Source organism: Homo sapiens, chromosome 9 (assembly GCF_000001405.40).
Source record: "Homo sapiens chromosome 9, GRCh38.p14 Primary Assembly".
Taxonomy (NCBI): Eukaryota; Metazoa; Chordata; class Mammalia; order Primates; family Hominidae; genus Homo; species Homo sapiens.
The window spans coordinates 4,572,440-4,597,365 of NC_000009.12; the positions used below are offsets into that span (position 1 = coordinate 4,572,440).

General features: G+C 43.7%; 2 protein-coding genes across 9 annotated transcripts in view; one reads left to right on the plus strand and one right to left on the minus strand.

The window, feature by feature from the left end:
• SLC1A1 (solute carrier family 1 member 1) overlaps positions 1–15,030 on the plus strand; it is a 97,002-nt gene extending 81,972 nt beyond the window's left edge. For 5 of the 7 annotated variants that reach the window (XM_011518007.2, NM_004170.6, XM_011518010.2 and 2 more), the window contains 5 exons: positions 1,468–1,575; positions 3,562–3,684; positions 4,130–4,324; positions 10,599–10,733; positions 12,873–15,030. In XM_011518007.2, coding sequence (XP_011516309.1) covers positions 1,468–1,575; positions 3,562–3,684; positions 4,130–4,324; positions 10,599–10,733; positions 12,873–13,119 — 808 coding nt within the window. In that variant the 3' untranslated portion in view covers positions 13,120–15,030. The remainder of the gene's footprint in view (positions 1–1,467; positions 1,576–3,561; positions 3,685–4,129; positions 4,325–10,598; positions 10,734–12,872) is intronic. The other 2 variants (XM_017015042.2, XM_017015043.2) reach the window with 1 other exon arrangement.
• Positions 16,382–24,926, minus strand: part of SPATA6L (spermatogenesis associated 6 like) — a 77,660-nt gene continuing 69,115 nt past the window's right edge. The window contains exons 13-14 of one of the 2 annotated variants that reach the window (NR_148445.2): positions 23,996–24,091; positions 16,382–16,522 (exon numbers count right to left, since the gene is read on the minus strand). The gene's annotated coding sequence lies outside the window, so the exon portion shown is untranslated. The remainder of the gene's footprint in view (positions 16,523–23,995; positions 24,092–24,926) is intronic. The other variant, NR_148444.2, reaches the window with a different exon arrangement.

The window sequence follows — 24,926 nt, forward strand, 5'->3', positions numbered from 1 at the left end:
CTCAAAATTAGAAAGAAGAGGTTTTATGTTTGTCAACTGATGAAGCTAGAGAAGTTGGACATTTAATATTGAACCACCAGAGTATTTTGTGGGGGCTTTTGTTGCTGTTCTTTGTTTTTGTTTTAGAGGCAGAGTCTCACTCTGTCACCCCAGGGTGGAGTGCAGTGGTGCAATCTCGGCTCACTGCAGCCTCAACTTCCTGTGCTCAAGCGATCCTCCCGTCTCAGCTACCTGAGTAGCTGGGACTATAGGCATGTACCACCATGCCCAGCTATTTTTTTGTATTTTTTGTAGAGACAGGGTTTTGCCATGTTGCCCAGGCTGATCTCAAACTCCTAGGCTCAAGCAATCTACCCACTTCATCCTCCCAAAATGCTGGAATTACAGGCATTAGCCACCACACCCAGCCACCACTAGAGTATTAAATAATTCCACATATTACCCAGGAGTTAGTTCATGAACAGAAGTCTAGCTATCAACCATTGTCTTTTCCCTCAAAGCCTTGGGAGATCATCTTGCACTCAACCAGCCTTCGTGTAAGAAGTAATTCTTTAAAAAATGATTTGAAGGATTTCACTGTACATGAGAACACAAAGTGCTTTCCCTATTGCACCCCATGCAAAAGTGAGTTTCAAAATATTTATAACTGGCACTGCATGGGCACTAACCCATCTGAATGAAAGCTACCATCCGTGAGCATACCAGTGACACCATTTCAGTGTCTGTCCTCTCCCTGAAAATGCCAAAAAGTCCACCTTTCTTAGGATGCATCTGTCTCGCTTACCTCATATTTAATTTGTTCAACATTATTTAATCCAAAGTGTAGATACTGACAGTGATGTAAAGGGTTCAGTAAAAATGGCAAGGCAGGTCACTTAATACTGCAGAAACCTCAGCTTCATCATCTGTTAAAAAGGATAATAAAAGCTACCCCCAGGGATAGGAGAAGTACATTAAATGAAATGATGCATGTAAAATACTTTCCCTCATGCAAGATACAACGATAGCTCCACAAATAGAGCTATTATGATCACTTCCAGTACTAATACTATCGCCTCTATTGCTGATACCTGGGAAACAGATGACCGTGGCTAGAAAGAGCCATATTTGGCAGTGAGGGTCAAGCTCAAGTGAGATCTGCAGATAGGACAATCAGCAGGATATATATGCACTAGGAACACGGCATGAGGTGCGCACCCATCTAACCACATGTTCTTGCCAAGTTTGCAAACTACCCTATGGTAGTTTGGATGGGTAGAATTTAAGGTGCACACAGGTACTAAAAACTAGAGCCAATATTGTTCACCCAGGACTTGAAACAACTCTTAGCTTCAATTCCCATCCTGTGCTCCACCAAGTGTGCATGCCAAGCTGAGGGTGCCCACACTGGAGTGTTCCTTCCCCACCAACCTAGCATGAGAAAGCACTTGATGACGGAATCACGCCTCTGTTGTGCTTCCTTTCCAGTTATATGCCACTAGGTATTTTGTTCCTGATTGCTGGGAAGATCATAGAAGTTGAAGACTGGGAAATATTCCGCAAGCTGGGCCTTTACATGGCCACAGTCCTGACTGGGTATGTCAGACTCAAGAGAAGAGACAGAAACCTCCTTTGATCTAATAGGATGGCCGCTGAGAGGTTGGGTTTCAGTTGGTTAAAACTGGCTTCTGCCCTATGTGCTGGGAAAGATAGGGTTCAGAGATAAGACAGCAGGGGGAGGAGGGCTGCCCTTTAACAGCTGTACTGTAGGTGGATCATGCTGTGCTAATTGTCAGCTCTTGGCAGAACAGCCTGGACCAGGCTTTGTCACTGCCTTTATTGGTTATGTTAAAATAATTTTTTACAACAAGAGAGAAACCCACTCGTAGCCTCCCTTGGCTCTCTCCTGGCCTTCATTTCCTTAAGAATGTAAACTAGCCAAGCAAGCAAGAATAGCCTCCATGTACCCTGAACCTGAAAGAAATTAGCAAGGGCCTAAATGAAATCAGACTTGAGCAAGTAGGAGCAGGATGGCTGTTGGTTCAAACACTGTTGCTGGGGCTGTTAACCACCACCATGTCCTGCAGCATCAGAGTGTCAGAGAGGGTGCCAGGAGAATCTTGAGGCTGGGAGGAATTGTGTGGGCCTTTTTGGAAGCCATTAAACAGGAAGGCAGCAGGGGTTGGGTAGTTTCCATATTTATTACAGCCTAGCTACTGTTTCCTTGAGAAAAGATGAGGTGGGATAAGTTATGAATGGTGCCCCTGGACACCTAGACAGGGGCAGAATATGTCACATACCCTAAGAAATACAGACTAAGGGAATAAATAAATATCATTGATTTGACTCTCACAAGTCAATACCTACAAACACCCAACTTGAGCAATGAACTCACCTATTGGAACTTGATCGTATTGGAGATTTCCAACACAGCGCATTTGGTTCTTAATCTGTGTTTGCCAAAAACACAGCCCTGCCAGCCAACACAGAGGCAGATTTGGTCCCTACAGTGTGAGGCCCCTGGCGCTAAGGGAGGTGGGACCTCCAATTCACTGGAGGCCACCCTGCTGTAGGGCTGCTGAAACAGGCAGTGCCAGGGATCGTGTCTCAGCAGTGACGTGGCTGGGGTGTATGAGCTGAGCCATTTCATAACCGAGTTCTGCTGGTTTCTATTCTCTTACCCCAGCTAGGTGTCTAACAGGAAACTAAAAGTCAGTTCCTCATGGTTTTTAGCTACAAGCTCTCTATCAAGAAGATCCTCTCGCCAGAACTCCAGGATCTATATTTTTGATGGCCATTTCCTATTTCAAACACACATAACTGATCTGTAAACTCTAAGCTGCCAGTTACATATATATCTATCTGTGAAATGAGTCTCATTTCTTAAGCCTCCTAGTTCATGTAACCTGTGTATTTCCATGTGAAACAATGAACAGTTTGAGAAGGCAGGAATAACAAAGAAAGAAATAATCCTAAAGTATGGCTGTGGAAGAGCTGAGACTTTTTTCCTTACTGTAACTCTGACTTCCCTCTTAGACAGTGGGCGCCACCAGCAAGACAGCAGCTTGGTGCAGGGAATGGAGTGGGTGAGGACTGAGCGCTGTGATAAGGGGTATAATGAGGTATAAGGTAGTGGTGACATACAGGGTGCCAAGGAAGGAAGGCTCAGCCCTACCTGAGGAAGTGAGGGAAGGCTTCCTGGAGGAAGGGGGATGCCTATCTGAGTCTTAAGAGGAGAAGAACTGAGCAGCAACAGAAGGAAAAAAGGGCACTTTTGTGCATGTGGCAGGAATAGCACACACAGGGGTGTGGCAGCATGATATAATTCTGTTCTGTGAAGCCTTGAATTTGGATTCAGCTACTGGCTTTGTCATTAACTCTGACAAGATGCTTCATGTGCTGAGAGAGCCTCTAAACCCTCATACATGGAATGGGACGTATATTCCTGCCCTACTCCCATTTCTTATTGGGCCATTATGAAAGTCAAACAATTTTATAAATTAAAAAGATGTTTGATAAAAGGATTAAGTGTGGGGAGGTGGTATTATCTTTGAAACTTTAATTTCTCTTTCTTGTTTACAGGCTTGCAATCCACTCCATTGTAATTCTCCCGCTGATATATTTCATAGTCGTACGAAAGAACCCTTTCCGATTTGCCATGGGAATGGCCCAGGCTCTCCTGACAGCTCTCATGATCTCTTCCAGGTAAACAGAAGAGGGGTTTCTGGAAGAAGCCTCCAGGCTCAACGTTATCAACTCTCACCTCACTTTACAAAACAGACTCCAGCTTGCGGTTTTTGTAGCTGTCTTTGAGAAATGACCTCCGTATTCTCGGCCCCTGGCCCTGAACACATTGCTTCATGCTGTTGCATATTTCCTGCTCTCTTGGCATGACCTGCAGCTCAGGAAGGGGTTATGGAATAACTGGGAGCAGTGGTGGGCACAGCACCTTCTGATTCCTGGACCTGCCTAAAGGGCTAGCATGATTTGGATCCTTTGTTTCATTTTGTTTTGTTATTTTCTTTACTTTTCTCGACAAGATTACCTAAAAGGACCCTTTGTTTACTTTTTGGAAGACAGGCATGTCTTCAGGCAGGGACTAAGGTCCAGCATTTCTAGACATAAGTTCCTTTCTATTTTTATCACACAGTTCAGCAACACTGCCTGTCACCTTCCGCTGTGCTGAAGAAAATAACCAGGTGGACAAGAGGATCACTCGATTCGTGTTACCCGTTGGTGCAACAATCAACATGGATGGGACTGCGCTCTATGAAGCAGTGGCAGCGGTGTTTATTGCACAGTTGAATGACCTGGACTTGGGCATTGGGCAGATCATCACCATCAGGTGGGGCATGGTGTCACATTCATTGTCATCACTGATACAGGGATTACCGCCAGTAAAAATTGTCCATGAAGGGACACCAAGAATGTCGCAGTGATGAATTCTTTTTCTTGATCTATAAAGTCCCTTCCCAAGATTAAATACGACTATATCCTGGTATGCAAGATTTCTGCTTCGGGGTCTGGGTAGCCAAAGCCATCACTCTGTGCTCAGTTTACTGAAGCCAGTAGGATCTAGGCACAGGCTAGCACAAAGACTCAAGGCTGAGTAAGGGCCAGTCCCTGCTTTCAAACTATCCCTGCTAGATGGGCATGCACATATCCAAATGAATGCTGAAGACCATGATGAGGGATGTAAGAGAACTCTGTATGGTGTTCACAGAGGACTCCAGAGAGGGAAGGGCTGGTTCTAGCTGGGAAGGTGAACGATGGCTTCCCAGAGGAGGGGAACATTTAGCTGAATCTTAGAAGAATAGGAATTTAGCAGGCAAAAGAAAAGCTAGGAGCATTTGGAGTGGCAGAAATAGCTTGTGATGCAGCCATGGGCTAGTTACAGCATACAGATTTCTTGCTATGGCTGGCATAAAGGATACATAAACATTCCTTTATGTTTAAACGAATGAGGAGGCAGGGGTCATGTCATGAAAGGTTTTGTACGAAGAGCTTGTGGAAAGCTCTTAGATGCTTTGTCATATTATGGACAGATTTGCATTTTATGTATTTATTTATTTTTTGAGATGGAGTTTTGCTCTGTCGCCCAGGCTGGAGTGCAGTGGCACAATCTCGGCTCACCACAACCTCCGCCTCCAGGGTTCAAGCAATTCTCCTGCCTCAGCCTCCTGAGTAGCTGGGACTACAGGCGTGCACCACCACACCTGGCTAATTTTTGAATTTTTAGTAGAGATGGGTTTCACCATGTTGGCCAGGCTGGTCTTGAACTCCTGACCTCAGGTGATTTGCCCACCTCAGACTCCCAAAGTGCCGGGATTATAGGTGTGAGCCACCACGCCCGGCAGATTTGCATTTTACAAAGATAAGCAGCAATATGGAAGATATATTGGATGGGAGCAGGGACCAAATCTAGGAAACCAGTTAGGAGACCACTGCAGAAGTCCAGGCAGGGTATTAGAAGGCACTGACACTGAGGTTGGAGAAGAGCTAATGAATTGAAGAAGCATCAGCTGGATTCAGGGTGAAAGGCGAGGGAATGCCAGGATGACTCCCAGGATTGGCAGATGATTCTAAATTGGTGGGTGGGGCTTACCAGAACAGGAACGAGTGTAAGAGAAGCACATATAGGTGGGAAAGATAAATAGTAAATACTTTTTGACAGATTGAATTTGAAATGCCTTTAAGACTTCCAGTTGCACATATGCAATGAGAAATATAGGTCTGGCTGCAGATACAGACATCAGGAACATGGGCTTAATAATGGTCTTCAAATGTGTAAGTCACAAGTTATTGCTTGTATTGGAATCGCGGCTACATCATGATTAGCTGTGATCTTGGGCAAGTGACTTGAATTTTTAAACTTCTGTTTTCTCATCTGTAAAATGAATAATAGTACCTACAACTTATTCAAGTAGTGGCAATTAAGTAATATGCATATAAAATGTTTATAACTGTGCCTATGTAGTGAGTACTCAGTGAATGTTGAAAATGGATGACATGACGTAGGGAGAGTTTGCAGAGAAGAGAAGGAGATTAAGGACTGAGGCTTGGAAAAATCCTAATACTAGAAGCAGGTAGAGAAGGGAAAACCCAAGAGGGAGAGGGAGAAGGACAGAGAGATGGGAGGGAAGCCAGTAAACCTTGGTATCATGGAAACCCAGAAAAGAGAGATTTTCAAGGGTGAAATGGTCCACAGAGTCAGAAGCTGCAGAGAATTCTAGTGAAATGAGGATAGACATTGTCTGCCCAAGTAGATGGTAGAACTGTCATTAGTGGATTTTGCCAGATTTGTTTCTCTAGGACAGCACTATTCAATATGGTAACCACTAGCCATGTGGCCCACTGAATTGGATAGCACAGACACAGAATAGTTTCATCATTGCAGAAAGTTCTTTTGGACAGCACTATGTTAGAGTGATAGGCTGGGATTAGAGTTAACCTGAAGACTTTTGTTCAGTTTAGAATGGAAGTTTAAGACTAAACTGGTCCCTAGGCCTGCTCAAGGTTGAATCTGAACTTTTTAGAGTTAATTCATTCTTGTGTCCCAGCCTAAACATAAATTCTAGGGATAAAATCAGAGTTTGTTAACTAACAATGTTCTAATACAATGCATTTTTTAAATCCTCCCCAACCCTAAATCGCAAAGTATTTCTGTTGGCTGAAGACAAGTGCAAAATACACCATTTGGCACACCAGCTGGGGAACTATCCCAATGCTGTGTAATCTATAAAAAGTGTTAGCGGCTAAAGAAGCCTGTGCCAAAGAGATTGAGCAAAGTCCTGTAATTATAACAGCAGAGGGTATGTCAAAATTGAAACCTTGAATCATGCCTGAAAAAGTTTCTGCTCCACAACCACCCCTGTGCTTCCAACAGTTGTTACTTTTACATTTCCAAGGGTTTTTTCCCACTTCCCTCACCCTGGGCTGTGGAACCCAGTCTTCACTGAACTGATTTCCAAGGAGTGGTTTATGAAGTGCCTATTCTTTTGTGTATTTGACACTTTGTGATGAAATCCCTCCCTCTTTTTTGGTTGTAAGTTTTCTAGATCTTTCTAATCATTTTTTTAATCTCACTGCCAGAGGAATGAACTCTGGGCCTAGAAGCTAAATAGTCAATTCTCATTAAAGCCTCTCCGGCTACCTCTGGTATATTCTTAAATCAGATTTGCTGAAAACTACTGGCCCAGAGCCAATAACAACTGTGAGGCCCAAAGTAATCATTGGCTTAAAATTAAAAATCCTCACTGGCTCTACATGGAAAATAATAAAAGTTGGTTTTGCTTGACAGTTACCATTATAGTTCATGTGACTAATGGTTAAAGAGATTTTTAGACCCAAAGTATATTTCTGTGGACTGGACATCAAAGAAACATAGGTACCATCTACCCAAAACATACCCTTTTGTGGCTTTATCATAATACTCAAAGGTTACAACGGATTGAAAATTGTGTGAGAATATGTGTCAAAATGGAAAAAAAAAGGATAAATTGTCTTATAAAAATAATTAGGGCCGGAAGCGATGGCTCAGACCTGTAATCCCAGCACTTTGGGAGACCTAAGTGGGTGAATCACTTGAGTCCAGGAGTTCGAGACAAGCCTGGGCAAAATGGCAAAACCCCATGTTTACCAAAAATATTCTAAAAAAGAAAAATTAGCCAGGCATGGTGGCATGTGCCTGTAGTCCCAGCTACTCAGGAGGCTGAAGTGGGCAGACTGCTTGAGCCCAGGAGGCAGAGGTTGCAGTGAACTGAGATGGCGCCACTGCACTCTAGCCTAGGCAACAGAGTGAGATTCCATCTCAAAGAAAAGAAAGAAAGAAAGAAAGAGAGAAAAGAAAAAGAAAGAAAGAAAAGTAAAGCTAATTATACAGCAGGGCGCAGAGGCTCACACCTGTAATATCAGCACTTTAAGAGGCCAAGGCGGGCGGATCACTTTAGCCCAGGAGTTTGAGACCAGCCTGAGCAACAAGGCGAGGCCCCGTCTCTACAAAAAATACAAAAATTAGCCAGGTGTTATGGAGTGCATCTGTGGTCTCAGCTACTCAGGAGGCTGAGGCAAGAAGATCGCTTGAGCCCAATAGGTGGAGGCTGCAGTGAGCTGTGATCATGCCACTGAACTCCAGCCTGGGCAACAGAGTGAGACCTTGTCTCTGGAAAAAAAAAAAATATATATGTGTGTGTGTGTGTGTGTGTGTGTGTGTGTGTGTGTGTGTGTGTGTGTGTATAAGGAATAAAGAAGAAAGACAATTGTAGGATTTGGGGCCTAGAAAGAGCTGAGAGAAAAAAAAAGTAGCAGTAGTAATAGTAGTAGTAGTAGTTGTTGTAATAGTTGTTGTTTTGGTTGCTGCAGTAGCAGTAGTAATAATACCAGTGGCAGCAGCGACAGCAGCAATAGAGGAAGCATTAGCAGCAACTGCTGTTGTTGCAGAAGTAGCAGCAGAAATGGCACGTTTTTAATCTTTTTGTTTGTTTTTTGTTTTATTTTACTTTAAGCTCTGGGATACGTGTGCAGAACATGCAGGTTTGTTACATAGGTATACGTGTGGAAATGGCATGTTTTTAAGCATCTACTATACAAGTGCTATCCCAGATGCCTTACGTGTATTAACCTCATTTAATCTTCCCAGCAGCTTGCAGTAGACATACTGTCCCCATCTTACAGGCAAGGAATTGAGATTCAGAGAAGTAACTTGCCTGAAGAAATGCCATCAGTAAAATGGTAGAGCCCAAAGTACATCACCCAGGTGTGTCTGACACTAAAACCTGTGTTCCCTCCAAGTCACAAGCCATCCTTCAACCTGTTTAGAGAGCCAAGTCCAATGGCCGGTCCTAAAACTAGGACCTCAGTGTGAGGAAAGAACTTTGTACCACTGATATTTATGTTTTCTTCTGTGGAAATCCTCTAACTCAAAGTAGAATATGTTCAAGCAGCAGGAATAGGTTTTTATATTATTTTCTCCCATCTGAAGGTTCATAGTTCTGAGTTTCAGACCAATGCCAGTCAAACAGCAGTAGTCTGGTAAGCAAGGTCAAGGCTCAAGGACAGAGTTTTCTTTGACTAAATGAATTTTGAGTTTCAAGCCCAGCCTCAGGCTATAGAGACATGGATTACTGTGACACGTCAGGGTTTCCAAGAGGGATCAGCTGGCATGGACACAAATCACTTCTGACAAAGAAAACCTGTTGATGCATTCCATTTAAATTTTTTTCAACCAGCATTAAAATAAACTTGGGCTTTCCAAAGAGTACTTAGGTCAGAAGAGATCCAAAGGGTTATAGAGGCCAGAAACCTTTGAGACTGAGGCCTGAAACCTTTAGAGTAATTGGTACAGCCCCAGAAATCTCTAATTTACTATAATTTGGTGGTCAAAACCACTGAATGAAAATACACTTGTCAAAAAACTCTGGCCTGTGTTTGACTGTACCCTCAAATGCTTTCTGCAACACCTCAGTAGGCAGATGAATGGGCAGTAGAATCAGCTTCCTAAGAACTCTGGCTTTTTTTAGCCCCAAAGAATATGAATGTGTGGATAGAATCAGGGATTCTTCCAGTTTAAATTGCCAATTTTTACATTTTCACCTTTCAACACAGTGGAACCCGGGCAACAGTTCAGGCCTTGGCCCAAGGGCAAGGACTTGTCTCCAGAAAGCACTGTAGGTGTGGCCTCCAGCTTATCCAAGTCAAGGGATTTTTCAGGGCATGTTGAACCCTTGTTTCCTTCAGAATGATCCAATTAAAATAAGGAAGATGTTGCTGATAAAGAGACTGCACATTACAAAGAAAAAAATCCCTACTGCCTCAGCTGATCTTACCAAGAGGGATCTTTTTAAATACCTGGTAATAAAGTTCACCTGGCTGCCCCTCCTGGATTCCAGATCTTTCTTTCCCACAAAGTGCATCTACTGGCAAAAAGGAGCAGTCAGGAGTAAATGCTTGTACCTTGGACAGGATCAGCTATTTCTCAATTCAGTGCCCTGAAGAGCAGTTCCCAGAGGTAAAGAGTCCTGTGATGTCAAGAGAGTGCATAAAGCCTGCTTAACCATTGTCTCATTCCTTTGCCTTCACCTGAAATGCCCTTGCCCATCTGCCCCTACAACTATCCTTCTGTCCATCCTTCAGGGCAACTTAAATTCCTGCCATATATTAGGTGCTCAGTAAATTATTGGGTGGTGAGTAGATGGAACAAGGGAGTAGGAAGGCAGGTGCAGAGGTACCTGGCACTTATTTAGGATGAGTGTATGTATACATAGATGAGTACACGAAGCCTCCTATTAACACCCCATTTAGTAAACTCCTGCTTTCCTCTTGAGTATCTCTCTTACTTATTTTTTGGTGCCACTTATGCAGTTCTTCCTTGCATTAGAGTGATGTGCCATATCTCCGTCTGCAAGGAGATGGCATCATACCCCTCATAGTCCCCCTCCCCCCACAGCTCTAATCCTGTAATGAGGCAGAGCTGGGGCTCAGCAAGTCACAGATTCTAACTACCCAATTTAGGGACACAGCAGTAATAGCCATCGGGACTAAGCGGGAGTAACCATTTCAGGCCAGGGCTTTAACGGGAGAGGTAAGTGTCTAACTCCTTTCCTGCTGGTATGTTTCTGCAGTATCACGGCCACATCTGCCAGCATCGGAGCTGCTGGCGTGCCCCAGGCTGGCCTGGTGACCATGGTGATTGTGCTGAGTGCCGTGGGCCTGCCCGCCGAGGATGTCACCCTGATCATTGCTGTCGACTGGCTCCTGTGAGTTGGAATAAATGCACTGCCTTAGCTGGATGTGCAGGCGGGCTTCCCAGCCTCGCAGGCGCTGCAGTCTGTCATCATTCTCTCCTCAGATTGCCTAATGAGCCACCTGTTGCTGCTTTAATTTTCCTCTGACCAGGCCATCTGATAACATGCCTAAAAATTAACTCCTCATAACGTGGAGCAGTGATTTTAAAAAGCCGGTGAGCTCCATTAGCTCATTATACCTGGTAACACTCAAGCTTAGGAGCTGGGTGTGGGACAGAGATAAACACAGAACAAGGTGAGAAGCCAGGCAGGGCCCCAGAGCCATCCTGACCTATCCCAGCCCTGGTTCAGCATCATAGGCTCAGAACCACCTAGTTCAAAATCAGTCCGTCTTCCTAAGCATCTTCCGAACCATCAGGGACAGTGGCACAAGCACTTGGGTTTGAATCTCCGTCCTGTGTCTTACCAGCTTCTTGACCTCGAGCAAGTTTCCTTAACCTGAGGCCCAGTTGCATAATCTGTGAGATGGGAAAAAATCTGCCTATGTCATTGGGTTGTTTTAAGGACTGAGTGAGCTCATGTGAGTGGAGCATCTAGAACAGCGTTTGGCAGCCCATACATGCTCAATAAATGGCAAGTTTTATTGTTATGATTAGAATGAGTTGGACCATTCAGGCCCCAATCAACAACACTTCTCTCTCTCTCTCTCTCTCTCTCTCTCTCACACACACACACACACACACACACACACATATGGAATACAGCAGAACATCTGGGTGAGAAAGTACCTTCAGTGACCCTCAAGGTTAAAGTTAGAACCAGCCTGGCTCCAAGCTTTACCCTTGATGCCCACTTCTGTGCATGGATCTTACAGCATTTAGGTCTGGCTCTGTCCCCTGGCATTGCAGGTAAGTATTGCTCCACATGGAGCCTTTGCTCAGAACCAGCTCAGGCTCACTGGGGAGTCCAGTGCTATGTACTGTAGTTTGCAGGTGACAGATGAGATGGAAAGGGAAGCAGAGACATCCTATTGGGCTTGAAAACACAGATTCACATTTCAAATGGCAAAAGCCCCTGCACCTGGCTTGGAAGCTGTGCCATGAGGTGGCCCCTCAGTAGCTAACTGGGCTATAGGCCCAAATGAGGTGGCACCCTTCTTGCAAAGATATCCTATCATTGAGTCAAGATTTGGTTCTTTCTAGTGATGCTGGTGGATTTGCATTTTTCTCCTTTCCCTGAGTCTTCCTGGAACCAGTTACCTTCCCTGCCAAGATACCCAGATGAGTCAAAGGTCCAATTGGAGGTATGGGATAAAAAGACACTAGGGCCAGTTCAATCCCTGGACTTGTTCTAAATAACAGAAGGGCATCCAGGGTGGTCATGTGTAAGCATTGTCAGCCTTTTCTGTTCTGCAGGTGTAGTTTTCACAAGATTCCCCCTGCATGCAGTTCCTGTCAACAAAGTGCCAGTATCAAAATGGATCCTCTCCTCTGCAGTGTGCCTTCTCTACCTGTCTTCCTGCCACCAGTCTCTTCCCCAGGCTCTCTGGAAATTAAGACTGGATGAGGGTGGCCCACAGAGAAATCCATTCCTGGGCTGACCTGTGTTTTCTGACCCCGTGCTCTGCACCATGCCTCCTGGTTTGCTCATAAGTAGAGTGACCTAGATTGGTAAATAAACAAGTACACCATGGACCTGAACAAACACATACATACCCCACATGCACATGGTACATACTCCACCCACAAAACACCCAAGTTCTCTGACCTTTGCCCAAAGAGAGCCCACAATGGCATTTGCATTGAATCTAGAAAATCCCAAGATAGAGGTTAGGGCTGAAAAACTTACTGAATTCTGAACCTCCCTCAGTCCCCCAAAAAATATCTGGAACGACTCTATTCATGTTTCTTTGGGAGAAGAGGAAGGAATTTAGGGAGACTTAGGGGAGTCATTGCTACTTTGGGGGAGCTCATGCTGTGCCTTTATGAACAACCCCAGGCCTGTGAGGAGCCTTCAGTCAGTCAGCCATGAGGACAGCACTTTCTGCACTTACTGAAATCTAAACTGAACATGTCAGGTCCTTGCATCTCTCCAGTGATGAAGGAAAATGAAATCTGGGCCTCCTGTCTGACTCCTCCCGTCTCTCCCCAGGGACCGGTTCAGGACCATGGTCAACGTCCTTGGTGATGCTTTTGGGACGGGCATTGTGGAAAAGCTCTCCAAGAAGGAGCTGGAGCAGATGGATGTTTCATCTGAAGTCAACATTGTGAATCCCTTTGCCTTGGAATCCACAATCCTTGACAACGAAGACTCAGACACCAAGAAGTCTTATGTCAATGGAGGCTTTGCAGTAGACAAGTCTGACACCATCTCATTCACCCAGACCTCACAGTTCTAGGGCCCCTGGCTGCAGATGACTGGAAACAAGGAAGGACATTTCCGTGAGAGTCATCTCAAACACTGCTTAAGGAAAAGAGAAACACTAATGGCCAAGTGTACATTTGATTTGATATACAGACCTCCAGATTATTTTCTATATTTGGATTCACAGCCTTTGCGCTCTGGGTTTTGGGATTTGGGTGTGGGGTAAGTTGAAGGGAAATCAATTTAAAGGAAAGTTCTATTATCTGGGTTTTAGAAATTCTATAAGAGACAAAGTTTGGAAGTACATAAAGTAATAACTGTTAGAATTAGGTAATGGATATGAAAGAGAAAATGCTTTCTCATGCATAGACAAGTGTTTTGGGTTTTTAAAAAAAATATTCTGTCATTGGTTACAAATTTTTACTCAGGCTTTCTATTGGCATGGATTTCCTTTGACCTCTCACTTTTTTATAAATTATAATGCATCTAAACCACCTGTCCCCAGTTAATGTGCCAAAATGTCAATTTTTAACTTATCTCCAGCCAATTTCAAAGAAAACAGACCAGCATAGTTCTGCAATAACAGTTTTAAGATGGGCATAGGGTTTGGAAGAAAGGGAGAAGGATTCTTTTTTCAATGTACTGTATTGGGACGCTGGTAACTGTTAACCCAGTGTTCAGCATAGAGCTATATATATATATATATGTATATATTTATTATTTTCATATAATTTGCCAGACAGAGATCAGAATTGAACCGTCAATGTGAAATAAAGAGTTCTCCTTGTACTTGAATAATAACCACGATTCCAACCCAGGTCTGCTTTGGGGCTTATCAGAACTCCTTTCTAAGGAGCACTAGAATGAGAAATCATGTTGTTCGATCGTTTCACATCTGTATATCAGCTCTAAAGCAGAGATGTATTATGGTGATACTCCAAGGTGGCATAGCCATTCATTTACAACTTCCAGATTTGAGCTGCCTGGAGGGAATCCATATCAGCTCTGCATAAGATTATATACAAAGCTGTCACTCACAAAAGGCTGGATGTGCTTTCATCCAACTGGAAGGCTTTATTCTTCCAAGTTCATTCATACTCAAAGAGGCCAGTACTTTGCCATCCTTGCACTTCTGTTATCAGGGCCCAAATAACAGTGGCAAGCTACCAACTAAGTTGTATTTTAATAAAGATTCCATGGGTTGAACAAGCCACGTTGCAGAAAAAGAGCTTCCCCTAACCTGGGTTGTTGCAGAGTAAATCCCACGACATAAGCTGGTATCAGTGGTTCGGGGGAAATAGTTCCATTCTATGACTCTTGTCTCCTCCTCCAGGAGGACTGTTCTAACTAGTAATCTTGGCCCTATTCATTACATCCTCTGCTTGTCATTCTGCTAATTTATGAAGATAGTTTATTATAGTCTGTACTTCAGTTCTCATCTTGTAAATAATGCTTAACATAAACTTGTACTTACACTGAAATCCAAAATAGTCATGTTTCTGCAGTATTCTGTAGCCAACTTAAACCTGTGCTTTCATGTTTAAGAAATGAGAAATTGTGCCAAAGATAGCAGAAGAGTAGATAAGTGCTCAGTATTGACGACCTACATCTGAAATCTACAACATAATGATACTGAATTGTTATGTAAACATCATAAATAGTAAATAATGATTCAATGTGAATTTTAAAATGCAAATATTGCTATTGTTTATAGGAAATAAATCTAAATATAAATGAAATTGAATCAGTAATTTATCTTGGGCTAAATGGTTCTACCCCTTACTAGGTTGCCCCAATTAGTGGCACTAGTTGGCAGAGCTGTTCATGAGCTGCCAGTTATCATTTTGGAGTCAGTTTGAAACCAGCCTCTTAACACACTGCTGTTAACTCATAAAAGAGAAGAGTGTTCCATTTCAGTCTCAATAAACACTTCCCTCATTCTTTCCCCCTGCCTTTTTCTTCTTGTTATCTGTTGTTTTATCTTACTTGGATGGGTGTGGGAAGGCAGAGATGTGGTCAGTTGAATCAGATTTTATACAGTTTTCTTTTTCTTTTTTTGAGACATAATCTCACTCTGTCACCCAGGTTGGAGTGCAGTGACATGATCTCAGGTCACTGCAGCCTCCTCCTACCGGGCTCAAACAATCCTCCCACCTCAGCCTCTTGAGTAGGTGGAACTACAGGCACACACCATCACTCCAGCTAATTTTTCTATTTTTTATAGAAATAGGGTCTCAGTATGCCACCCATACTTGTCTTGAACTCCTGGCCTCAAGTGATTCCCCTGCCTCACCCCAACAAAGTGCTGGGATTACAAGCATGAGCCATTGTGCCTAACTGGATTATTGTTTTCAAAACTTTATACCCCAAGAATGAAAAAGCGAGGCTTGAGGAAAAATAATCTGATTGTTCATGTTAGCCAATGGGATTACAAGGCGGAAATACAGTGCCATTATGAACAGCTGCACGCATATTTTGTGGCGGAATGAAAGTAGAATTTTGTTAGAAGTTACTACAGTAAGAGATAGTCGACCAGACACAGTGGCTCACCCCTATAATCCCAGCACTTTGGGAGGCCGAGGCAGGCAGAACACTTGAGGCCAGGAATTCAAGACCAGCCTGGACAACACAGAAAGACCCCATCTCTACAAAAATGTACAAAAATTAGCCAGGAGTGAAGGTGTGTGTCTGTAGTCCCAGCTACTCAGTAGGCTTAGGTGGGAGGATCACCTGACCCTGGGGAAGTTGAGGCTGCAGTGAGCTGTGATAGCGCCACTGCACTCCAGTCTGAGCGACAGAGACCCTATATTTAAAAAAAAAAAAAAAAAAAAAAGTCTTACCTCTCAATATGATGGTGGCTTGGTTTCACTACAGGAACAATCCTGCCCTCTGAAGTAAGATTACAAGCTACAAATGGCTGTGTTCAGAGTGATCTCTGATGGGATGGTACAGTCCTGCCTGGAATACCTCAGTCATGAGGGGATTCTGCAGGGGGCGATGGACTCACTTGCTGTGATAGACAACAAAGGAATGAACAGCTCCCTGTTTCCCACGGAGAGGATCCTATCTGCTCATAAAAATGCCTATCACTACCTGGCCAAAGGAATACTGGGTAGTTTCCTTTGTGTACAACGTGGGAGAAAATACTCAACAACACAACTCCTTAGAAAAAGATATTTGTTTGGAAGAGCTGGTGCCCCTGGGTCTCCATGTGACTTTGATTTTGCCTAAAGTTTACTCATGAATAGAGAAATGGTGTTATCAGCTGACGAATGACTTTATTCTTCCAGCAACTCTTTTTTAGTCCAGTGGGTACAAGGCCCTTTATTAAAGCATACCCTGATTCTTAGAAGAGCCATGGGAAGTGTGCTTGGCTTATACTCAGGCAGTAGGCCAGCTGCAGTGTTTGCTTTGCAGGGGCTCAAGAATCTTCCCTCCTGGAACAGAAGACAGGAAATGGTCTAGCAGCCTTGGAAGGCTGCTAGAAGCTTCTATGCAACAGGATTGATATTCTGTATTCCCCAACTGCCCAGCAAGGGACTATGGAACACGATGAGTGGGCACACAGCTCTGATTCCTTACCAGCTTTGTGTCCCTTGCCAACAACCGAAACCTTGGTTTCCTCTTCCATGAAATAGGAATAAAAATTATTTCCTCACAGGACTGCTTTCAGCAGTCAATGAGAAAATGCATGTGATGCATGTAGCAAAGATTCTGTTACAGACTATGTCTAACGAATGCTAGTGCCTCTTCTCCCCACCCCTGCTTCTGGGAAAAAACTATACCCTTCTCCCTCCCCCATTTATTAACATGGGGTAATCCGTAGGGATGCAATTGCTGTTCCAGTATTTTAGGATCCGTGTCCCTGATGTGATGAAGGAATGAAGCTCCTACCACGTGGTGCTGGCTGGGTTATCACAGCAAACAGTATATCCAACCTAGTGAGACTTCGTAAACAGCCCCCATTCTATAAAGGGGAAACCCTTTCAGAAATGGGACATTTTAATCTAAAGAATATCAAACTTAATTTTTTCTATAAAGTGTCATGTAGGAGGTAAACAAAAAATAAGTGTTCGCAGTCCTTTCCTATGCCCTGAAACACAGAGAGGGGTTTGAGATGCTTGGGCTGTGTGAAGCTGAGATGTACCTTCACATAACACCCCTTCAAACATCCTGAAAATGAGAGTACAGCATGAAGTTCACTTTTGCAGTCAGCCTATAAATCTTGTGTGACTCTTCAAAAACTGTCTCCCCACCTGATGGAAGCAGGGCCCCCCGTGGGGCTTTTTAATATACCCTGTGGGAGGAAGTGTACCTCTCTGCAATCCTAGACTTTTAAAGTGAAAGCCAGATAATATAAAGAAGAAGAAGCAGGCCTTGTTAAATTAGCTTTGGGAACTATATATTTATATATTTTGACACGGAGTCTCACTCTGTCACCGAGGCTGGAGTGCAGTGGCGCGATCTTGGTTCACTGCAACCTCTGCCTCCTAGGTTCAAGTGATTCTCCCGCCTCAGCCTCCCAAGTAACTGAGATTACAGGTGTGCACCACCACGCCCAGCTAATTTTTGTATTTTTGGTACAGACAGGGTTTCACCATGTCGGCCAGGCTGGTCTCAAACTCCTGACCTCAGGTGATCTGCCTGCCTTGGCCGCCCAAAGTGCTGGGATTACAGGCTTGAACCACCGTGCCTGGCTGGGAACAAAATATTGACCTGTATATGGAATTGGGTGAGTGTACCTAAGTGTATAAAGTTATCCATCAAGGATGGAAATGATCGGGACATTTCTCAATGGCCTGGGCTGCATGCACAGTGCCACAAAACTCCTAAGCAAGCAGTGAGATCTAACCACACAATTGATGTCCCATTTCTTCCCTTACTAGGGCAAACCACTGTCATGTGTGATTTGGAAGGTGTCTCTCCAGAATTAGGGTGACACTTATGGTTTCATCTACAAATCTCCGCTTGGCCTGCCACTTTTAAGGTATCACCAAGTTCAAAACAGTTATGAGTAAACCCCCAAAAGACAAGATAAACAATTACATTCCTTTGATTATTCTGGTTGGAGAAAATGAGAAAGGAATGCCATTGCCTCTTCTAGGGGATTTCCACTGCTTTCTAGAAGGCCCCAGCAGCCTGCAGCTGGGAAGCTCTGGCCCCGCGGGGACAACTCCAGGATATTACCTAGAGAGAAACTTGCCTCACAAAAGCACTGTTTATCAAAAAATGGAGGGAGGCAAATAACCCTGGAACTAAATGCAGAATCAACTAAACTGAGCAGTAGTGTCTGGATGCCTGTCCCCCATTTTCCCTCCAAGAAGCTGCCTTTTTCTGACAGACTGCAGGCTCTGGTAGCTGCCATTCCTCCATAACTCAGGAAAGCCATTACCAAGTGTTAGCACAATGTCGCATCATCTTCTTTCGCTTCGGGGCACTTGAGGGAATGCGATGCAGAGTTGCATCATCTGAGCATTTCAGGGTCAAGGGTCTGGCTGCAGGGGAAGGTGTGAGGAGTCTGGAGATCTAACACTGGCCAGGATTTGCTTTGCCTTTGTCTGCGCCCCATGGAAAGTACCTTTTCCAAGGTGAAGGTAAGACAGATTGAAATGACTTTGGTCATCCTGGAAGGGCAGTCGCTGGAGAAAAGGTACTACTCCTTCCAGTGTATGAGCATGCCTTCACAAAGAGCTCAAGGCATGTACATTTTAAAGATGACTTTGATCCTCCTCCAAGCATTCAAACATAACTTTTATTTAAAGAGCCCTTGTGTTGTGTTTCCAAGGTTATTAGCTTAGCTTGGCAAGAATAACAAAAGGCCAGCCAAAAGGCTTTTCTGAGCCAAGGGCTTAAAAAAAATTATAAAGGTTTTCCAAAATGAATCCGAGGTTATCCTGTCCGGGTCTTTAGGAAACTAGGCAGGTCTGATGGATCTCAGAGAAGTGCTACTGTATAAATTCACGTGATAAAAGAAGGCAATACCAGTCGGCGATAGAGGGACACTGGCTGATCCATCCTCAACACCTGCTTCTGTCTTCCCAGCATGCCAAGTTGGCTTTACCTCTCAGGTACTTTGGAGCTAATCCTCCCATCTTCTAATTTAGCCAGAAAGGTTAAGGTAGAAAGAATGTGTCAACTTCACATGAATCACAAATCCAAGGCTCTCTGCTCCATCAGAAAGGGCCAGTTAAATTAGAAAAACATGCCACTGCAGTTGATGAAAAAATTAGACATGCAAATAAGGCCGACTCAGCCTGCAAGGATATTTAGTCTGCTTTTCTCACCACTGTGAAAATGTTTGCTTCTATATCAATCCAGGCAGACAGTCACCTACCCTATTCTTGGGCATCATTACCTTTCCTAGAGATGACACTCTAAGGCAAATCAACGTCCAGTTTCTTTTAAGGTGTTGACCTAACAGCTGAAGGTATCCCCTGAGCCTCCCTGCCAGGATGAGTGCCCAAGCAAGTGGGATGTCCTGAGCCCAGAAGGAAAAACAGCAACAACAAGCCAAGCACAGTGGCTCACAGCTATAATCCCAGCACTTTGGGAGGCCGAGGCGGGTGGATCATCTGAGGTCAGGAGTTCGAGACCAGCCTGGCCAACATGATGAAACCCTGTCTCTACTAAAAATACAAAAATTAGCCAGGTGTAGTGGCACATGCCTGTAGTCCCAGCTACTCGGGAGGCTGAGGCAGGAGAATGGCTTGAACCCTGGAGGTGGAGTTTGCAGTGAGCTGAGATCACGCCACTGCACTCCAGCCTGGGTGACAGAGGGAGACTCCATCTCAAAAAAAAAAAAAAAAAAATCACAGAGGAAGAACATTTTTATTTACTCAGCAGACGTTGGCATTGCAATTACTATGTGGCAAGCAGTGCTCTTACCACTTAAATATGAACTCATTTAATTTCATAACAGCATCATAAAGTGGGTACTATTATTATCCCCTTTCCACAAACGAAGAAACTAGCACAAAACATTAAGCAACTTCCCCAAAGACCACACAACAAATAGATCGCTCAGCCATGTGGCTGCAGTGTCACTGTTCTTCACCAGGCATTGTAAGGCAGAGAGTGCCAGGAGTGCTAGAATATCAATTATAACTCAAGTCTGGGGTGATCTAAAATGTTCAAAGCAGATAAGAATCATTGGCTAGATCTACTGCATAGCATAGTAGCTATAGTTAATACTGCATTGTATACTTACAAATTTGCTAATATAGTAGCTCTTACGTTGTGTTCTTATCATATCCCCCAAAATAATTAATAAATAAAGAAGGTGAGAGGAAACTTTTGGAGATGATGGATAGGTTTATGGCATAGACTTTGGTGATGGTTTCACAACTCACCAAGTTGTACATGCTAAATATGTACACCTTTAGTATGCCAATCATACCTGAATAAAGTGGTTTAAGAAAAAAAGAATCACTGCTAACACCAAGCACTAACTATGTGCTGAGATTGTACTAAATATTTTACATGCATAGTCTCATGCATTCTTCTTAACACTTCTATTAGGCAGGTCATATTACCATCTGTTTCCCAGTTGAGGAAACTGTGGCTTAGGGAGGTTAAGTACTTTGCCCAAGTTCACAGAGCTGGGACTCACATGATTCCAAGTCTTTTCCTAACTATTAAGATATAATGCTTCAAAATGCCTAAAAAGTAAGAGGAAATGCATGACAGTATCCAATCGTCACCTCTTTACAAGCTTTCTAATCATGACATTTTATTTGATACAACCAAATTTGCTCCTTCAAATTGCTGTTTGTTTTCCCATTCTAGCAAAAATTAATTTTAAATATGTCTAGATTATCTCCCACCTCATCTAGCTGCCCAGCCTCACCTCCTTTATGGTATACAATATCATTGTATCCCTCCCTTATATCACCTTTAAATCTTTCACTCAAACCCCAACTCTCCCCAAAATCCCTTTCTTTTCCAAAACCAGGGATGGGGAGTTGTCAGGATAAAAACTGGAACCCTATTTCTCTTTTCCTTTTCTTGCCAAATTTTGGGGGCTGCTTTTTATTCTTTATACTGTGACTCCATTTCCTCCCCACTCACAAACACCTAATCCCCTACAGTCGGGCTTCCACAACATTCCTGAAACTCCGAGGTCATCAGTGCCCTGCTCATGAAATCCAAAAGGCATTTTCTCAGTCATCAATTTTTACTCTTCTGCAACATATGTCACTGTTGATTAGCTTTATATTCCACTAAGTTATTTTTCCTTGGCTTCCAAGACATTACCAGATTCTGCCCCGCCTGACCGTTTTCCACCACTCTTCCACAACCTTTGTAACCTCCTCCTGCTGCTCCCTTACTGTGGGTCTCATCTCTCCCTGTGCCACACACACAGGGTCCCCTCAAATATTTGTGGAATAAATGAACAAGCTCACATCCTTCTGGTCTTCCTCTCTCCACCAGATACTCCTCCAATATTATGGATTCCACTACCATCTCTATGCAGATGATTAACAAAAATGTGTATCCACAAAGTCTACAGCTGCCCTTGGTTTCTCCTGCCCTGATCTCCAAGCCAAACCTCAGATCCCCACCTCCAACTTCTACTGACCACTTTCTGTTGGCTTTTCCACCATCTTTTTAAACTGAACTTATCCAAAATCAATCTCATCAATCTTTTCTGTAGTCTCTCTTTCCCAGATTGGGAATTGTGGGTTTTTGTTTTTTGTTTTTTGTTTTTCGGAGTCTCGCTCTGTCACCCAGGCTGGAGTGCAGTGGCGCGAACTCAGCTCACTGCAAGCTCTGCCTCCCGGGTTCATGCCATTCTCCTGCCTCAGCCTCCAGACTAGCTGGGACTACAGGCGCCCGCCAGCATGCCTGGCTAACTTTTTTTGTATTTTTTAGTAGAGACGGGGTTTCACCGTGTTAGCCAGGATGGTCTTGATCTCCTGAACTCATGATCTGCCTGCCTCAGCCTCCCAAAGTGCTGGGATTACAGGTGTGAGCCACCGCGCCCAGCGGGGAATTGTGTTTTTAAAAATCACCATTATTTCCCCTACAATCTAGGATCATAAACATTTCTTCTTGCTTTTGACCCCAAGAGGTTTGAGGTTGCAAGGCAGGTCTATAGAGGTTGGTGCATTTATTTGAATCCGTCTGCTCTGGGATTCAGGTGGGAGCCCCTGAGTGAACAGTGATGCCTCTTTGTGAAGCGAGTGACCCAAGACTTAGCCTCTGTCCAGACATGAATCACTGGACATGGTGTACTCCTGCATTTTCTCTTCCCACGTAATTCTTGAATAAACAACTTGTATTTTGATAATCCTCTAAATTCTATTTACAACCATAAGGCCTTCACGATAAGAACAAGATTCAGAGGGATTAAAAAAATACTAAACAAAATCCCAGACAAGGCCTCCATTCTTCTCAACACCCACCTTGACCCCTAGTAATTCTAAGTGTTCCCTATTCTATCTCCCTGGCCAAAAAGAGACCACAAAAAGAAAAGTCCCTAAAGGATTTCATTTGAGCTCCTATTTTGTTCTCTTAGTCGTTGAGTTCATCTTGCCTCACACATCATGAAGAATATGAATCCACAAAATGAAGGACACTGTGTCCTTATTTCTGCAGGGCAATTATTCTCTCCATCAATACCTCATTCTGCTGACTAAGTAGTTCACCTTCACTTTGTAACAAGCCCAGGCCACCGGACTTAACCACTTCTTCCTTAAAAGGGCCAGGTACCTCCCCCATACACCCACAGGTTTTTAAGCACCCCTAAAATAAGTTGTCTCATGATGTCTTCCCAGCCCTGATGTCTAATCAGCCCTTCTCTTTCCTGTGACTCTCCTACTCAGTTGAGGTTCTATTGCCCTAATTTTCAGACTTCTTCAAAGGCTTTGTCAGAGTCTCCCCACCGCCAGCCTCTACCTACTCCCAAACCATCCTGCACAAGATCATCAGATTAATACTTTGCTTTCTGGCTCCAAAACTCTAACGGCTTCTTATTGTCTACAGCACAAGTTGAAAATACTCGCCTGAATATTTAGGACACTTCAGAAGATACCCCAAAGGACATTTCCTCTTCTCTATATACATATGCTTCATTATACTCTCCCCAGTTGCCTCACTCTCCCAAATCTCTTCTCTACCTGGTCTGCCTATTTTTTAAATGCTGAAAATAAGTTCTGGGCCTCCAACACCAATACCCCACTGTTTCTAACCTCCTGAAACATACAGAAGCAACAGTATCTTGGTACATAATCAGATACTGCCTTATATTATTAAGTTAATCAATATGAGACGATTATAAAGTAATGAAATTGAGTTCCACAAACCTCACTGTAAATCAATACCATTATTTTATACTACTAAACAGGAGTCAAAACTGGTGGCTTTGGGCAAGACCCAGCTTCAGACCAGCTTTATGTGGGCCACAGAGCCTTTGGCTGGTTTAGATTTGAATTTGAAGATGAACACCTTGTGGGAGGATGGGGTGTTACATGCTCCACTTCACTCCAGCTCCCATCACTCACCATTATTTCAAACTCAACTGCTTCTGACAGTCACAAATCCTGCCTGGTCCTAAAGACATCCGAGTTTGCAACACCTTTTGGGAATCACACTTGAAATATCTCGTTTAAGGTCTCATTGCCCCAGTAAGTATGGAAACTTCAAGAGGGCACGGGTTGAATTTTACACCCCTTAGTGTGACCCCTCCCGACCCCACAGGGTCCTGCGCAATACTGAGCACACAGAAGGAGTTTAACAAATACAAGTTGAGTGGGTCCATGCGAGGCTGTGGGATCAATTTTGTTAACTGCAGGGCTGGGAGGAGACCCAGTGAACAAAGGACGTCATCCTATCCCTTAAGCAACAACAAATGAGCTTTCATAATGAAGAGTTCCCACCATGAATGCAACGCTTCCAGCAATAACACCTACTGCCACTGCCTACGGTCTGTTCCTGGAAGTCATCCCAATAAAACAAGTATGATGTTTATCTCAGTTCAAAATTCCAATTTCAGTGAGTGTCCGTTCCTGGAGAAAAAGGAACAGGAAAGTTTATTTGGGGGTGGTGGGGAGGAGGGGACTTCCTAAAAATGCCGTTTACAAACATAACATTTCAATGACAGGAAATACGAGCAGAAAGCCTCTCTTGTTGGCCTAAACAAGAAGTGGTTAATTGTTCCAACTTCTGTCAAGAGACCTTAGTTGCTCTGTTATTCTGAAATGTTCTGAGTTCATGTTTTTCAAACCCTTTAAGTTGAATTATCTGTGATGCCTCAGGGCCAACCAGGTGGCAGCAAAGGGGTGACAGGAAGTGGTACAGAGAACCTGAGGTTTGGAAACAAGACAGAGCAGGGTTTGCAAACTGGCTCTGACGCTTGCTTTTCTGAGCCTCAGTGTCCTTAGCAAGAAATAGGGGGAGCAATGCTTTCCTCAAAAAATTAAATGAGATGAGAATAAGAATAGCTAATGCTCACTGAGTGCTCATTTTGTGCCAGGCACTGATTTAATGTACTTTAAATGTATTATCTACCAACAATAACATTATTAGACAGATACTATTATTACCTCCATATTATACATAAGGACATTGAGACACAAAGAGGTTAAATTATCTGTCCAAGGCACTCAGCCTGTAAATGGCAGAACTAGGATTTAAATCCAGGTACTCGGAGGGGCGCAGTGGCTCATACCTGTAAGCCTAGCATTTTGGGAGGCCGAGGCGGCAGATCACTTGAGGCCAGGAGTTCAAGACCAGCCTGGTCAATATAGGGAGACTCCTTCTCTATTTTTTATATATATAAAAAAAGAAAACAAAATACACACACACACACACACACACACACACACACACACACACACACAC